The sequence below is a fragment of the Homo sapiens genome, chromosome 12 (genome assembly GCF_000001405.40).
Source record: "Homo sapiens chromosome 12, GRCh38.p14 Primary Assembly".
Classification (NCBI taxonomy): domain Eukaryota; kingdom Metazoa; phylum Chordata; class Mammalia; order Primates; family Hominidae; genus Homo; species Homo sapiens.
This window is the reverse complement of record NC_000012.12, coordinates 118,961,602-118,979,840: the sequence shown is the minus strand read 5'-3', so window position 1 is coordinate 118,979,840 and position 18,239 is coordinate 118,961,602.

The window sequence follows — 18,239 nt, the reverse complement described above, 5'->3', positions numbered from 1 at the left end:
ACTAGGCTAACCCCTTCCCTTCCTCTCCCTCTTACCTTGCGCCCCAAATCCCCCATTCCCTGATTGGGCTAGACCCCCGTTTCCCACCCAGAAGTTGGTATCATTGTAAATGCAATCTAGAGCTGGCTTCTTATAGGTAGCAGACTGGCATCTTTAAAACTAACCTTAGTCATGACATTTAGGGTATGAACTGAGTCACTTGCAGGAGAGAGGTAGGTGGGATCCTACCCCCACAAGATCAGTCAACATCTTCCAGTTGTGTGCCTGCTCCTAATCCCTAAAATGTTGATAGAGCTCCCATATGCAAAACATTGCCTTTTTAAAATCCCATCGTAGCCAGATGAGGTGGGAGAGAAAGCTGATCTTATTCTATTTTATTTATTTATCTTATTTCAATAGCTTTAAGGGTGCAAGTGTTTTTTGGTTACATGGATGAATTGTATAGTGATGAAGTCTGGGCTTTTACATACCTGTCACCCGAATAGTACCTTACCCCCAAAAGGCCATTATTAAAAAGTAAAAAAAAAAAATAGATGGTGTAGATGCAGTGAAAAGGGAACAGTTATACACTGTTGGTGTGGATGTAAATTGGTACAACAACTATGGAAAACAGTATGAAGATTTCTCAAAGAACTAAAAGTAGACCTGCTCATTCTTTTATAAAGACACATGCATGTGTATGTTCACTGCAGCACTACTCACAATAGCAAAGACATGGAATCAACCTAAATGCCCATCAGTGATAGACTGGATAAAGAAGTTGTGGTACATATACACCATGGAATACTACGCAGCCATGAAAAGAATATCATGTCCTTTGCAGGGACATGAGTGGAGCTGGAGGTCATTATCCTTAGCAAACTAACATAGGAACAGAAAACCTGATACCACATGTTCTCACTTATAAATGGGAGCTAAATGATGAGAACACATGGGCATATAGATGGGAATAACACACACTGGGGCCTTTTGGAGGGTGGAAGTTGGGAGGAGGGAGAGGATCAGGAGAAATAACTAATGGGTACTAGGCTAAATACCTGGGTGATGAAATAATCTGTTCGACGAACCCCCGTGACACAAGTCTACCTATGTAACAAACCTGCGCTTGTACCCCTGAACTTAAAATAAAAGTTAAAAAACGTAGACCTGCTATTCGATCTTACTCTGTTTTAAACATGAAGAAGTTGAGGATGACCAAGTGACTTCCCCAGGGTGATCCTGTAGGAAGCAAAGGAAATTTGTGAAAAATACAGTTTCTGTTTTTGCTTGGTGGGGTGGAGGATGGAGTGGGATACTACGCATATCAGGATGGACCACCATTTAAAAATAAATCAGATAACAATGAGTCACATACTTAGAAGCACCTGGTGTTGAGGTTCCTAAATTGGGAGTCTGCAGTAATCAGTTCAGGACTTGGAATCCAGAATGCCTGGCTTCAAATTCCAGCTCTGCCATTTCCTAGCTGTGTAATGTTGGAGGAGGGATTTCACTTGCCTATGTCACAGTTTCTTTATCAATACTATGAAGAATTTTTTTTTGAGACAGAGTCTCGCTCTGTTGCCCAGGCTGAAATGCAGTGGTGTGATCTCAGCTCACTGCAACCTCCGCCTCTCAGGTTCAAGCCATTCTCCTTTCTCAGCCTCACTAGTAGCTGGGATTGCAGGCGCCTGCCACGACGGCCCAGCTAATTTTTTTTGTATTTTTAGTAGAGATGGGGTTTCATGAAGATTCTATAAAGATTATAAATAATATGTTTAGATGAACTAGCTGTGAGGATTGAAGGAATTAACACACATACAGGTTCTAGAATGTGTCTGAAACACAGTTTACTCAAAAATATCAATTACTCAAGTGGTTAAAAGCCCAGCCTGTGGATTTAGAGAGAACTAGGATATGAAGCCCAGCTCTGCCACTTTGTAGCTGTATGAGCTTGGGCTAATAACTAACCTCTGCCTTTGTTTCCTCATTTGCAAAAGTGGAGATATCACATCGTGGTTGGGAAGATTAAATGAAATATTACTGGTAAAGGACTTAATAAATTGTCCAGTTTATAGCAAGTGACCATTCAATGGTAGCTCTTCTTGCTCATGATCTTGGAATAATCACCTGTTACTATGTTAAGTCAGGCCATATTCAGTTCAATAATCATTAACTGATGCCCAATCTTGCATCTTGGCCAGGCACAGTCCTGGGCACGGAGGACTCAAAGACAAACCAGACATAGTCCCTTCCCTGAAGCAGTTCACAGCCTAATTCTCCTTCTGGGTCTCCACTGACTAACACTTGTCCCCTTTTCATCTTATCACAGTGACTTCTGCTTTAGGTCTGGCTTCTCCAATATAACGTGAACTCCAGTTCCTCCATCACTTTATTAAAATAGAACCATCTTGTGCCTCATTCCTTCCGGGTATTGCTTTCTGTTTCCCCAGATGCAAGCCAGCCCACCCCATAAACAAGGACCTATTAATATGCTGGTTAATGAATATAAACTTATGGCACAATTATTCCTTGCCCTCTGTGCTATACTGATGGTAGACATCACTGATCCTTCACAATACTCTTTCTCAGACCGACCCTCAGAATCCTTCTTAACACACAGTTTCTAGATAGCCACTACTAATAGTTTGGTCTTGGCATTCCAGATAAAATCAATTTGCCATCCATGTCTAGAGAATGTTTCTTTACCTGATTGGTATTGTTCTTTCATTTGAAAAAAGGGACAGCAGGGAGAAATGATTCTAAACTTTGCAAACCCAGGCACTCTAGAGCAGGAGCTAAGAAGATTCTTATGCAACCTTCTCCTTAGTGATCCAAAGATACAGCACCTCCAGCTCAGAGAAATAGCTACCCCTTCTCCTGAGGCAGTTCAAATCCCACCTCACTAACATTACCATGTTACCTTGGGTAAATCTCTTAATCTTTCTGTGTCCACGATTTCTCTGAGTACAATGGAGCCAACCATTATCTACCAGCATCAGAGAACTTGACAGTCTGTACCCATTTCTAAAAGTCCAGGGAACAGCAAAAGATTCAAATAATTACTGAGATGATGGGAAATATGATAATGAGACCAATTCATCGGTCTTTATGTCTTTAAACAAGATCATGCTAAACCATTCAAATTACAAGATTATTTATTTGGGGAGAAAAATATGATTGCACTACTCAATGTTTATCAATCCTCACTTCTTGACTTCTTCGTTCCCAATTTGACTTCTTCCTTTAATCCTCACTTCTTGAAAGTTCTACCTTGTGTCTAACCTGAATCCCACCTCTGTTGTTTATTGTCCATTCCTCTTCTGGAACATACATGTGCACTACTTCAGATACTCCTGGACTAGTATGGATAAACCAGAAAGCCTCCTTCCAACTGCATAGATCCCAAGATTCTACAAGACAGATGGATTCATTGCCATCTCAGACAATAAAAATTGCTACACTTATCAGACATATGTTACTATGTTCTAGTCACAACATGTGCTTAAACCCTTGATAAACATTATCTCACTTAATTCTCACAACAGCTCTATGATAAAGGAACCATCATCATCTAAATTTTGCAGATTTGGAAACTGAGTCTCTGAGTGGGAGAATCACTTGCCCAGAGTTGCATAGCTAGCAAGTAGAGGAGTCTGCTTTCAAATCCAGATATGTCTTAATCTAAAGTCTAGGCTACGCTGACCTCCAGCAACAGGATAAGAAAAGTGTAACATTAGGTGAGTGTAAAATGTATCCCTCCTGTCTATATATTGTGTCCATGTCTAGAGCTGCCCATTAGTCTGCATATCTATTTATGCTATCAAGGATGTTATTTTCAGAGCCTCCACCTTCTTCCTGCAGAAGGGCAAAGAGTACTTGCCTGGTACTACCCTAATATGTACAACCTGGTATTTTATAGGTAGTTGGCAGGAAAAGACATGAGTCTCCAAGGCGACCATATTGATTTTGTTGAAGAAAACCAAACTGAAGAATCTCAGTGGGAGGAGAAGGAGAGAGATGCTCAAAATCAAGACTGGAATAAAGCAACCATTCCTCCCCAGAGCAATTGTACCAGCCACCTAATCTGCCTTCCTGCTGCAAGAATTCACCTTCTGCTAACCTATCCTTTGGACTTATTCCCTCTAGGGACTTTTTTTTCCTTCAAACTGGGGGCCTGCTCATAACTTCCTTCCTTGAAAACCTTGCACTGACTCCCCCAAATTAGTAGGGTCAGTGCTAACCCCTCTGCATTACGGCTCTCATGAACTGGTGCTTGCCTTCTATCTGTCCTTGAACTTCACCCTCCAGTTATTTCACATTGTTCATCGTATCTCTATATACCTCGTTCTACTCCATAACTCTCCAAATCGTGCAAAACAAACCCCTCTGACATCTCTGTCCTTTTGAAAATGTCCTATTCATTCTTTGATATTTTATAATCACATTATCTCAGAAGTCTTAACATACGCATTGCTAGCCTTCCATACCCATAATAAAATCTTCCTCTCTTGGCCCTCCTTTGAGCCATGGGTATACTTTATAATTTATTTAGAGTTACTTGTCATAGTATTGACTGGGTGATCCTTGAAAGAACAGACTATGTCTATTTCTTATTTGAGTCACAAATGCCTAGTATAGAATTGGCACATAGTAAAAGTTCAGTAAATGCTGGTGTAATGAGTAGATTCCATATACAGTAAGAAACTATACTAATGTTCAAGTTACCCAGTCCCGCAGGTAATGAGGCACGATTTTATACTCATATTACACGTGACAATACAGTATTCACACTGTGCTTACTGGCATTGTATATATTCACTTAACTGTGAATTGATGAGAGAAAAACACTGTATTTTATGTATACTCTATGTAGTATGTATAACAGTAATAATATGCAATTATAACAATATATGTGTATATAGTTACATAGTATTCAGTGCCAGGCATTTTTCTAAGTACTTTACAAATATTAACCCATTGAATGCTCACCAAAACCCTATGTATTAGGCCCTGCTATTAACCACAGAGAGTTTAAGTAACTTACCAGGGACACACAGTTAGTAAAAGGTGGAGCCAACATATGAATTCAGTTAGTCTGACTTGCAGAGCCCTTAATCATTCTTACATACTGCCTCTAATATGATTTTTATATCCTGAAGTGAAATTCATTCATTGTGCAAGTATGTATTGGGCACAGCAATTGGACAGGGACAAAAATGGGTCCTCCTCTCCTGAACCCTTCAGTCCAGTTGAGTTATGTTAAACATCATAAAAAAAAACCATGCCCCAAAGAGGAAAACGATGTAAAACTGGATAAGTGGAGAATTTACTAAGTGTAAAGAGAATTTACTGAGTGTATAGAGGTAAAGTCTGTCCAAGACAGTTGCTTTTAAGTTTCATCTAAGAGTAAGAGGCATTTGCCAAGTGAAGAAGGGAGGTAGCATTTCAGGAAAAGAGTTCAGTACGCACAAAGACCACACATTGGGAAAGAGTTGGGTAGACTTATGAGAGAGGCTGAAGCCCAGAGAACACAGTGATGAAAAAAATGGAGGCAGAATGTTGGAATTAGTGATGAAAAAATGTGCTGTGTGCAGTGAAATTATACTCTCTGAGTCTCATTTTCCTTTTAAATGAGTCTCATTTTTCTTTCAAATGCAAAATGAGAGAATCACCATTATTACACCCAGTTTTAAAAGCCAATTATTTTATATCATTATTTCTCAAAGTGAGGAGCCTTGGAACCCTAGTGGTATCCCCCCACCCCAAGCATGTTTTAGGTGATATCCAGGCAGATCAAGCACAACAAATAACATTGGAATACATGGTCATAATGTGAGAAAGTTATTTCTTTTTCAATTCTCTTTTCTAGCCATTGGGTTACCTCCAGAAGTAAGTCTACACACCTTGATTTTCTTGAAATGTCTTGAACCTGTCTTAGCACTTGCTTTTCAACAAGAAAGTGACTTCAGATTCAGAGGTTAGGACAATTACAATTTAATAACCTTGATTTGCTTTCACTGAATTTATTTTTATAGTTATTTTCCATCATTGGCATGTGATACTGGTTTTTCACCTCTAAAATGTCCTCTTTAGGTAAATTTGTTAAGTAATGAATAAATCAGTTTTAAAAAACTTTTTTATTATGAAAAATCTAAAACATACATAAAAATAAAGAGACTAGCCTAATGAGTCCCAATGTCCCCATAGTCTAATTTCAACACTGATCAATAAAGAGTCAATTGTTTCATTGGTACCCTCACCCACTTTCCACACTACTAAATTATTGTGAAGCAAATCTAAGACATTGCATTATTCCCAGTTGTAAATACAAGGTGCATCTCTAAAATATAGGAACTCCTTTTTAAAAGCATGACTGCAATATCATCACACAAAACAAAATTAACAATAATTTCTGAATATCATCAAGTATCCAGTCAATATCCCCCATTCCCAATTGCCTTTTAAGTGTTTGTTTATTGTTCATTGGCTTGTGTGAACTGGAATTCAAATAAGGCCTATTCCTCATGGTTGGGTGATATATCTCCTTAAATATCTTTTCATTTCTAGGTTCTCTGCCATTGCCAACATGCACACAAACATTCTACCTCTGTCCTCTTTATTTTTCTTAAGAAACTTGATTATTTGCCTAGTAGAGTTTTCCATAATCTGTATTTTGCTGATTTTGCAAGTCTGTGGCATTGATAACATGTTTCTCTGCATTCTTTATTTTTTGTTAAGTGGTGGTACGCTAGAGGCTTAATCAGACTTACGTTCAAAAGAAAATCTACCAGGAGGCTAATAATGTATGGTTTTCTCTTTTCTTGTGATGCTAGCTGACACTGAAGATCATTGCTTAATTTATTAATTTATAATTTATATAATTTATAATTTAGTGGTTGCAAAATAGTGATATTCTAATCTATCATTTATCTTTCATGTATTAGCTGGAATACTTCTATAAAGAAATATCCCTCATCAACTATTTGGTTAATTTAGAGCACCATTAGTATAGAAATGGCAGAATGATATTTGATTCTTTCCCTTTTATTTTCTAGCTTATAAAAATAATGGGTTGGGCTACTAGTATCCTTATAAGGTACTACTGAGTTGATTGGTTATTTGCTGTTGCCATTTTTTAATCCTTACAATGGACTCAGATTTGAATAAATTTTATGTGCTTCAATTAATTCCTGTTATTATTCTTATTGATGCTTTACTTGTTCCACCTTTAGCCAGGAGAGCCTATTCAATTGGTTCCTGAGTCCTTTGATATGACCTAGAAGGCTTTCAGTGGCTTTCTCACTTTCTGATATGTCAAGATGTTCCAAGCTCAACTTATAAATATCCTGACCCAGACCAGGAATCAGCCATTTCTCCAAAATGCAATGGTTCCTTTCAACAGGTGTCAGAGTTTCTCATCATTACCGGATTAGCTGGTCAGTGTTTCTAGGATTTTTTAGCATACAGACCTAGGAAATTTTATTTTCAGACCAAAAATGTATCATGAGTTTTCACTTGTATTTCTAGTTAAAATAAGGGCTACAGGTTTTTTTTTAACCTCATAAATTGTCCCTCTGTGTCTCTTTTCTGATATGCCCACAATCTACATTTAGTGACACTCACATAATTACTCATGTATTTATCCCACAGCACGCACACGTGTGCAGACACACACACACACACACACGCACACACACATATTTTAGGACAACTGTACTTATCCTACCTCCATAATATGATTACTAAATTCAGTTAAAGGTTTTTTTTTTTTTTTGCCTCTCATTTGGATGTATATTCAAAGGACTGTGTATTAAAGTCAACTGGAATGGGATTGCATTGAGGTTTATTTGTTTACTTTTGATTTTTAAGGATTGCTTTTCAATATAACTTTATTTCTTTAAATGTAAAATATTTACATGGCTCTGAAGTGAAAACTACCAAGAAGGTATATTTAGACAAGCCTACACACCCTTTCCTGTCCACCCTATTCCCTCCCTCTCCTCAGGTAATTTTAAACATTTTTTATGGTTTATCTTTTCACTTAAAAATATTCCTCATTCAGAATTATTCCGTTTTTTAAAAGCATAAATAGTATACAAGAGCATCAGTGAGAGAAAGATACTATGGAAACCCTAAAGTAGTATTCAAGCCATTAACATTTGTGTGCACCCTGTTACCTATCCGTGAGTAATTTTGGCGTTTGACTCGACAGCCTTTTTGTGTAGAGGTGTGTAGCTTAGTCCCTTCACTTACGAACGACATATATTTGACATATACACACTGTGAGCATCTCACCTGTTGTATGAAGCTGGTGTAATATTTAAATATGGATGTGCAAATCTCTGTTCCTATAAACAGGAAGGTGGAAAAAAAGCTTGCCTAAAAGAATCCAGTTTTGCATCTGAAAGCATCTCTCTATCTGTCATGGCTCTTATTTGTGTGTGTGTGTGTGTGTGTGTGTGTGTGTGTGCGTGTGTGTGTGTCTATACTATATATATAGCCTCAAGTGCCTTCTGCCTTTAAAGATAGGCTGCAACTTTTGAATGTGCTTGCTTTGTCTTGTCTGTTACTCTTTTCTACTGAAAGGAGTACAGAATTCTCTCCTGGAATGCTTTGAAGCAGAAGACAAAGGCAACTGACCTTTGGTTTGGGAGAAAAAAAAAAAGGACAAGGAAGAGAAACTCAAGGCTGTTCATATGCCCTTGTACACAGAAGATTTGGAGGCAGAACTGAAAACGAGTGTCTTCTGCATCCAGGGGCTTTGGGAGAAAGCTCTCTGCAGCAGCACCCTCCCTTTCGCCTTGCCCCTGGATTGGATGTTGCAGAAGTAATTAGTGAATAAATTGATAGTCAGTGTTGTGACGTGACCACAATTGTTAATGCATCATTTTCCTCCTGGAAACTTAGTTTGCCTTACAGGCAAGCCAGATTCTATGTAGGCTCCTGACAACCCAAAAACCCAGAATAACTTCTGGAGCGTTTAATCTTTCCTCTTTGGTATGAGCGCTTTATGTACATATTCACATTTAATTCTCACAGTGACCCTTTGAAGCAGTCTCTGTAAGAAGTGAAGGGACTTGTCTGAGGTCAGACAGCCAGAACATCTAGAGTGGATTTCTCTTTTATTTTTCCATGGCGGGGGATGAGGGGGATGTATTCATGAGTATAATAAATGTGCCATAGAATTTTGTCTTTAGAAAGGTGATAAATGCTGTTTTTTAAAAATCTCTTTCAATTAGACTTTATGAAGGATTCCCTAGATCTATTATTCAGGAATATGAGCAACAAGCCATAACTCCCAGTCTGATCTCCTTCAAGGAGGACTTTAGATGAGGTTGGGCAATGCATTGAAGGCTTGAAGGGCCAGCATTCTGGTCCTCATTGAACTTAGGCAACGCTTACTCCTAAGTCCCAGTCTCAGTTTTGCCATCTGTAAAATTACAGGGTTAGGCTCTCAGAGGTCTCAGACTGGCAGCCCAGAGTATGAATCTGGCTTACAGATGTGTTTTTTGTTTGATGGCCACAATGTATTTAAGAATCGAGAATGTGAATGACTATAGGTAAGGAAAATGTTCTCCTTTTGCCACAGACCCCCACTCCTAATTGCATTTCATCCAGGCTTTTTCATGCATATACATTTCCCCTCTTGACCATTGCAACTCCTGGGCTTGAGGGTCCTCTTAGGAATGACACTCTGTAGCTTCTTTGTATTTTTCTTTCCTGAGAATACTCATAACAATAATTTTAATAACAGCAGAAATTAGCATTTGTTGAATGATTCCTATGTGCCTTGCATTGGAACTAAGTACAAATGTCATCTCGTTCCCTTCTTATACCAACGCAATGAGGGAGCTGTTATTGGAATCCATCCTTTGTGTATGATGAAGCTGAGACTCAGCGAGATAAAATGTCTTGTCTAAGGTCACGCAGTGGTGGTAGATGGAAAAGCTGGAATTTAAATCTTGGTCTTTCTGAGCCCAAAGCCCATGCTCTTACCCAGGAGTAATATGCAAAGCACTTAACAACTCATATGGGCCGGGCGCAGTGGCTCACGCCTGTAATCCCAGCATATTGGGAGGCAGAGGCGGGTGGATCACTTGAGGTCAGGAGTTCAAGACCAGCCTGGCCAACATGGTGAAACCCTGTCTCTACTAAAAATACAAAAATTAGCTGGGCACAGTGGTGTGTGCCTATAATCCCAGCTACTCGGGAGGCTGAGGCAGAAGAATTGCTTAAACCCGGGAGGTGGAGGTTGCAGTGAGCTGAGATCACGCCACTACACTCCAGCCTGGGTGACAGAATGAGACTCTGTCTCAACAAAACAAAGCAAAACAAAACAAAACAAACAAATGAACCCATATGGTATGGCTCTGACCTATCAGATGGATATTGGGTATAGGACAGCTGCGTGCCAGGGAAATGGTTGCAGTGGCCAGGTCAGTGAAGAGGGCGTGGGCACTGGAGTGAGATCATAGGAGAAGCTATTTCCCAAGTTAAATGGGAGTATTTCTATATTCACCATCCAGGGTGACTGAGCCGAGCTCTCTGGCTAAGTGTCCAGCTCCTAACTACCTCACTTGCTTTTTGTCATGCTGAGTAGAAGGCACCTGTGGTGTCTTAAGGACCTACGTGTAATGGTACACAACATACCAGAATCTCTGGGACACAGATAAAGCAGTGTTAAGAGGGAAATTTATAGCACTAAATGCCTATAGGAGGAAGCAGGAAAGGCCTAAAATCGCCACTCTAACATCACAATTAGAAGAACTAGAGAAGCAAGAGCAAACAAATTCAAAAGCTAGCAGAAGACAAGAAATAATTAAGATTAGAGCAGGGCTGAAGGAGACAGAGATGTGAAAAACCCTTCAAAAAATCGATGAATACAGGAGCTGGTGTTTTGAAAATATTAAGAAAATAGACAGACTGCTAGCCAGACTAATAAAGAAGAAAAGAGAAGAATCCAATAGACACAATAAAAAATAATAAAGGGAACATCACCACTGATCCCACAGAGATACAAACTGCCATCAGATAATACTATAAACACCTCCACACAAATAAACTAGAAAATCTACAAGAAATGGATAAATTCCTGGACACATACACCCTCCCAAGACTAAACCAGGAAGAAGTCGAATCCCTGAATAGACCAATAACAAGTTCTGAAATTGAGCCAGTAATTAATAGCCTACCAACCAAAACGAGCTCAGGACCAGACAGATTCACAGCTGAATTTTACCAGAGGTACAAAGAGGAGTTGGTACCATTCCTTTTGAAACTATTCCAAACAACATAAAAAGAGAGACTCCTCCCTAACTCATTTAATGAGGCCAGCATCATCTTGATACCAAAACCTGGCAGAAACACAACAAAAAAAAAGAAAATTTCAGGCCAATATCCCTAATGAACATCAAAGCAAAAATCCTTAATAAAATGCTGGCAAACTGAATCCAGCAGCACATCAAAAAGCTTAACCACCACGATCAAGTCAGCTTCATCCCTGGGCTGCAAGGCTGGTTCAACATATGCAAATCAATAAACATAATCCATCACATAAACAGAACCAATAACAAAAACCATATGATTATCTCAATAGATTCAGAAAAGTCCTTCAATAAAATTCAACACCCCTTCATGATAAAAACTCTCAATAAACTAGGTATTGACGGGACGTATCTCAAAATAATAAGAGCTATTTATGACAGACCCATAGTTAATATCCTACTGAATGGGGAAAAGCTGAAAGCATTTCCCTTGAAAACTGGCACAGGACAAGGATGCCCTCTCTCACCACTCCTATTCAACATAGTATTTGAAGTTCTGGCCAGAGCAATCAGGCAAGAGAAAGAAATAAAGGGCATTCAAATAAGAAGAGAGGAAGTCAAATTGTCTCTGTCTGCAGATGACATGATTATATATTTAGAAAATCCCATTGTCTCAGCCCCAAAACTCCTTAAGCTGACGAGCAACTTCAGCAAGGTCTCAGGATACAAAATCAATATGCAAAACTCACAAGCATTCCTACACGCCAGTAATAGATAAACAGAGCCAAATCATGAGTGAACACTCATTCACAATTGCTACAAAGAGAATAAAATACCTAGGAATAAAACTTACAAGGACCTCTTCAAGGAGAACTACAAACCACTGCTCAAGGAAATAAGAGAGGACACAAACAAATGGAAAAACAATCCATGCTCATGGATAGGAAGAACCAATATCATAAAAATGGCCATACTGCCCAAAGTAATTTATGGATTCCATGCTATCCCCATCAAGCTGCCATTGACTTCCTTCACAGAATTAGAAAAAACTACTTTAAATTTCATATGGAATCAAAAAAAGAGCCCATATAGCCAAGACAATCCTAAGCAAAAAGAACAAAGCTGGAGGCATCATGCTACCTGACTTCAAACTATACTACAAGGCTACAGTAACCAAAACAGCATGGTACTGGTACCAAAACAGATATATAGACCAATGGAACAGAGCAGAGGCCTCAGAAATAACACCACACATCTACAACCATCTGATCTTTGACAAACCTGACAAAAACAAGAAATGGGGAAAGGATTCCCTGTTTAATAAATGGTGATGGGAAAACTGGCTAGCCATACGCAGAAAACTGAAATTGGACCCTTTCCTTACACCTTATACAAAAATTAACTCAAGATGGATTAAAGACTTAAACATAAGACCTAAAACCATAAAAACCCTAGAAGAAAATCCAGGCAATACCTTTCAGGACATAGGCATGGGCAAAGACTTCATGACTAAAACACCAAAAGCAATGGCAACATAAACCAAAATTGACAAATGGGATCTAATTAAACTAAAGAGCTTCTGCACATCAAAAGAAACTCTCATGAGAGTGAACAGGCAACCTACAGTATGGGAGAAAACTTTTGCAATCCATCTATCTGACAAAGGGCTAATATCCAGAATCTGCAAGGAACTTAAACAAATGTACAAGAAAAAAACAACCCCATCAAAAAGTGGGCAATGGATAGAAACAGACATTTCTCAGAAAAAGACATTTATGCGGCCAAAAAACATATGAAAAAATGCTCATCATCATTGGTCATTAGAGAAATGCAAATCAAAACTACAATGAGATACCATCTCACACTAGTTAGAATGGCGATCATTAAAAAGTCAGGAAACAGCAGATGCTGGAGAGGATGTGGCAAAATAGGAACACTTTTACACTGTTGGTGGGAATGTAAATTAGTTCAACCACTATGGAAGACAGTGTGGCGATTCCTCAAGGATCTAGAACCAGAAATACCATTTGACCCAGCAATCCCATTACTGGGTATATACCCAAAGGATTATAAACCATGCTACCATAAAGACACATGCACATGTATGTTTATTGCAGCACTATTCACAATAGCAAAGACTTGGAACAAACCCAAATGTCCATCAATGATAGATTGGATAAAGAAAATGTGACATATATGCACCATGGAATATTATGCAGCCATAAAAAAGGAAGAGTTCATGTCTTTTGCAGGGACATGGATGAAGCTGGAAACCATCATTCTCAGCAAACTAACACAGGAACAGAAAACCAAACACTGCATGTTCTCACTCATAGTGGGAGTTGAACACTGAGAACACACATGGACACAGGCAGGGGAACATCACACACTGGGGCCTATCGGGGGGTAGGGGGCTAGGGGAGGGATAGCATTAGGAGAAATACCTAATGTAGATGATGGGTTGATGAGTGCAGCAAACCACCATGGCTACATGTATGCCTATGTAACAAATCTGCATGTTTTGCACGTGTATCCTAGAACTTAAAGTATAATTTAAAAAAAAAGAAACCTTAAAACAAACAAACAAACAAACAAAAAACCTATGTCTGAGAAACATGAAGAATGTGACAGTGACCAGAGGGCAGCAAGACCAGGTGATTCTGGGGCTGGATGGGGTCTCCTGGGAGATGAGGAGGTTGGGAAATTCAGCAACGATGGCTAGACTCCCTGCTTGCAGAAACTTATAAATAAGAAAGGAAGATGGCATTGACCTGGAAAGATAGATCAGTGGGTTTCCATATGAGTTGAATGAAGCCAGAGTTAATATTAAGTGGGCCACTTAACATGGCTCCAGCCCCAAACCACGGAGATAGTGTGGCTGACTGCTAAAAAAGTAACTCAAGTCACATGCCCTTTCTAATTATTGTAACATATTAACAAAATTTATTGGGCACAGACTAAGTGCCAGGCATTATACCAAGTGTTGAGGTTTCAACAAAGCAGTAGGAAAACATCTCTGCCTCCAATCCAGGGTGTGGGTGGAGTAATCTGTGATATTAAGGGCTAAACTTAGAAGGCTGAGGAGATGCATGAAAAAAGAATTCTTCTCTGTGTTGGTGCAATCAGGGAAAATTAAGACCCAAAGTATGAGTGATCCAAGCCAAAGAGGCAGGGAAAGGGTGGAGGCACCTCAGGGAGAGAGCTCTCCATGTACAAAGACCCAGAGGTAAGACAGAACTCACTTTGCTTACAGTAATGCTGTGTTTCTTGAAGCGGAGTCGGGGCTGACAGCATCAGCGTCTCCTGGGAACTTGATAAAAATGCAAATTCCGAGGCGCTACCATAGCCTTATTGACTTAAGAGCTTCTATGCAGCAAAAGAAACTGTACAAGATGGAACCCAGCAATCTGTGTTTTGACAGGCTCTCCAGGTGGCTCTAATTCAAGTTTAAGCTTGAAAAACACTCAGTACAGAATTTCATGGTTGAGTGGTCAGAAGTGTGGTTGGAGAGAAGAGGAGAAACCAGATCATGAGAAGCCTGATGTGACTGAAGTTTTATGTTTAGGGTAATGTGCTTTGGAGGGACTTTGATAAGAGCAGTGACATGACACTTGGATTTTCGCTTCATAAGTGTTCCTCAAAATTGCTGAGCTTGTTACTACTTCTAAGCCTTTGTGTTTGCTGTTGCATTTGCCTGAAACATTCTACCTCCAGATTTTTAAAATATGAACTCCTCTTTATTGAGATCTCAGTTCAAATGGTACTTCCTCTGATCATCCCACAATAAGTGGTCCTTCTGCTTCCCTCTCCCATCAGCTTGGTTTATTCTTATAACTCTTAGCCGCACCTGCAATCATCTCGTTTAGTATGTGTTTGTTGTCTGTCTCCCTCTACTAAAATGTAACTGGATAAAGGAGGAAAACAGTCTGCCTTGCTCACCCTAGTGTATCACCACTCCCCCAATGCAGTACTCTGCACATAGTAGGTGCTTTCAATCAGCAAACTCAGTGAATAAAGGAAGCACAAAGCCCATGGCAATTCTCACCATGGAATTCCCACAATGGTCATCAAAATAGATAGACTCTGAGGGGGCTCAGAGGAGAGGAGCTCTAGACCAGGTGCGTTACCTGGGATGTCTTCCAGAAAAAGGCAGGCATTGAATTTTTTTTTCAGGACAATAAGGTGAAGTAAAAAGGATAAGGGAGGAAGTAATTCAGAAAGTAGACTCAAAATAGCTCAGAGGTCAAAACCAGCAAGAAGAAGGCAGGGAGCCCAAGTAGATTAAGTGCGTAAAGACAAACCATGGAAGGACAATGATGAAGAAGGTGGGTGGGGGAGCAAGAAGGCAGGTATGATTTGAGGGGAGCCTCATAAACTTGGAGTCCATTAATGAGCTCTTTCTCCTTGGCCATTGCTCAAAGTATCATTGAGCTTTCTGTCCCTCGGTCCATCCATCCTTCTCAGGATATTGACTCCTTCCAAGTTAGAACAAATGTCCCTGGATATTGGGTTTACACAAACAAGCATAACTTTTTAAATGTAAATAAATGAAATAAATAGAGGCTGTCACTTTTTCTGTCAAGCATAGACAATTTTTTAAAAGAATCAACTATCATAAATTATCATGATCATTTCAGAAAATGAAATACATTTTAAACCCAAAATGTAGGGAAGTGAAAAACATTATCTCAGAATTAAAGACTTTGCTCCTAAATGGACTAAATCTCACTTGCTGACAAGCTCCCAGCATTGCCCATACTGTGTTTTTCTCCTGTTGCCACAGATTGGTGAGAAAGACCCACATTAGAACACAGGTAAGCATTTGGAACACTGCCATGGATGTGATACAGCCAGCCCCAGAAGGAGGCTGGGTGAGGACTAAGTAAGTATATTTAAAATAAAGCTGGGCATGATGGCTCATGCCTGTAATCCCAGCAATTTGGGAGGCTGAGGCTGGAGGATTGCTTGAGCCCAGGAATTTGAGACCAGTCTGGGTAACAAAATGAAACCCCATCTCTACAAAAAATAAAAAATTTAGTCCAGCATGGTGGCACGTGCCTGTGGTCCCAGATACACAGGAGGCTGAGGCGGGACGATTGCTTGAGCCCAAGAGGTGGAGGCTACAGTGAGTTGTGTTCATGCCACTGCACTCCAGCTTGTGTGACAGAGTGAGAACATATCTCAAAAATAATTAATAAATTAAAATAAAATAAAAATAGAAATGAATAGCAAAATCAGTGGCTTCTTACCTAGGCCTAGAAAGTTGAAGTTAACTTTACAGGATCACTAACCTTATAGACTCACCTATTCAATCTTTATACTTGCATTTTTTTGTTGTGGTAAAATACATGTGACACGAAATTTACCACTTTAATTATTTTTAAGTGTATAACTCAAGGGCATTAAGTATGTTCACAACATTGTGCAATCATCACCAGTTCCATTTCCAGAACTTTTTCATTATCCAAAACAAGCTACCATTATGTAATAACTCCCCTCTCTTCCAACCACCCACTGCCCCAGATCTTGGTAACCTGTATTCTATGTTCCCTTTCTATAATTTTTTTTTAAATTCTAGGTGCTTCATGTAACTGGAATCATACAATATTTGTCCTTTTGTGTCTGGCTTACTTCACCAAAATTAATGTTTTTGAGATTCATCCACACCGTAGTATGTCTCAGCACTTAATTCCTTTCTGTGGCTAAATAATATTCCATCGTATAGATATACCACATTCTGCCTATGTATATTTTTGTTGATGAACACTCGAGTTGCTTCCACCTTTTGGCTATTGTAAATAATGCTATTCTGAACATTGGTGTACAAATATCTGTTTGAGTCCCTGCTTCCAATTCTTTTAGGAGTGAGATTGCTGGATCATGTGGTAATTCTATGGTTAACATTTTGAAGAACCGAACCCTCTTTTTAACTGTCAAGAAATTGAAGCCTGGAGTGGGTGCAGGATCTTTCTGAGGTCACACAGCATTGGGGAGGCAGTAGAGTTGTAACTGGACTCCTGGACTTTCTGTGAATCCCAGTGGATAATAACAGATAGAGGGGAGAAACCAGAGAGCCATGATCAAGGCCAGTGTCGAGCGCTGGGTATCCCCTGGGGAGGAGAGTCTCATTTTCTGCAGTCAGCTTTTCCAATACTGGGCCAAGCACAAAAATGTTCCTGTCTCTACAACTGTCAACCTAAGAGACTGGGTGGGCAGAATAGTGTGGAAGAAATAAGTCCAGAAATGGATAGGAATAAAATTAGAACACTTTTGCTCAAGTGCTTGAGGGAAGGCACCTACATCTTGGGAAAAGTTAGGAAGCAATGAAAATTGGTGAGAATGTTCTGACTTCAGAACTCTGGGCTAGTCCTATGAAAGAAAGCTTGCTAAATAACAGAAAAGCAAAATTTGGAGGAATAAGATGCCCACCCATGATATAAGCTCGAGCCTTAGTACAGCAGGAGGTAGAAAACCTTGTTTGTGAAGAGTGTGGATTTGGGATGGAGGCTGCAAACCTGGGTACAAATTCCTGACTCTTCCACTTATCAACTTTGTCACTTACAGTAACAGATAACCCCTCTCTGAGCCTCAGTCTACACATCTGTCAAATGGGGCAATAATAGTACCTATCTCATAGGGATTGATATGATAATGGTGCTGATGCTGCTGATGCTGATAGATCATCTCATCCCAATGCTTCTGGACCCTGGTGGCGCATTAGATCACCTAAACGGTTTTAAAGTTACTGATGCATGAACTCCACATCCAAAGAGTCTGATTGACTTGATCCGAGATTGTGCCTGTCCCCCTCTTTTTTTAAGCTCCCCAGATGATTCCAAGGTGCATCAAATTTAAGAAACAGTGTGTTCTAGTGCTTTCCAAGAATCAGCTGGGAATCTTATTAAAATGTAAATTCTGATTCAGCAGGCCGGAGGTGGGGCCAGAGATTCCATATTTCTAGCCAGCTCCCAGGGAGTGCTGGTGCCCAAACCACAC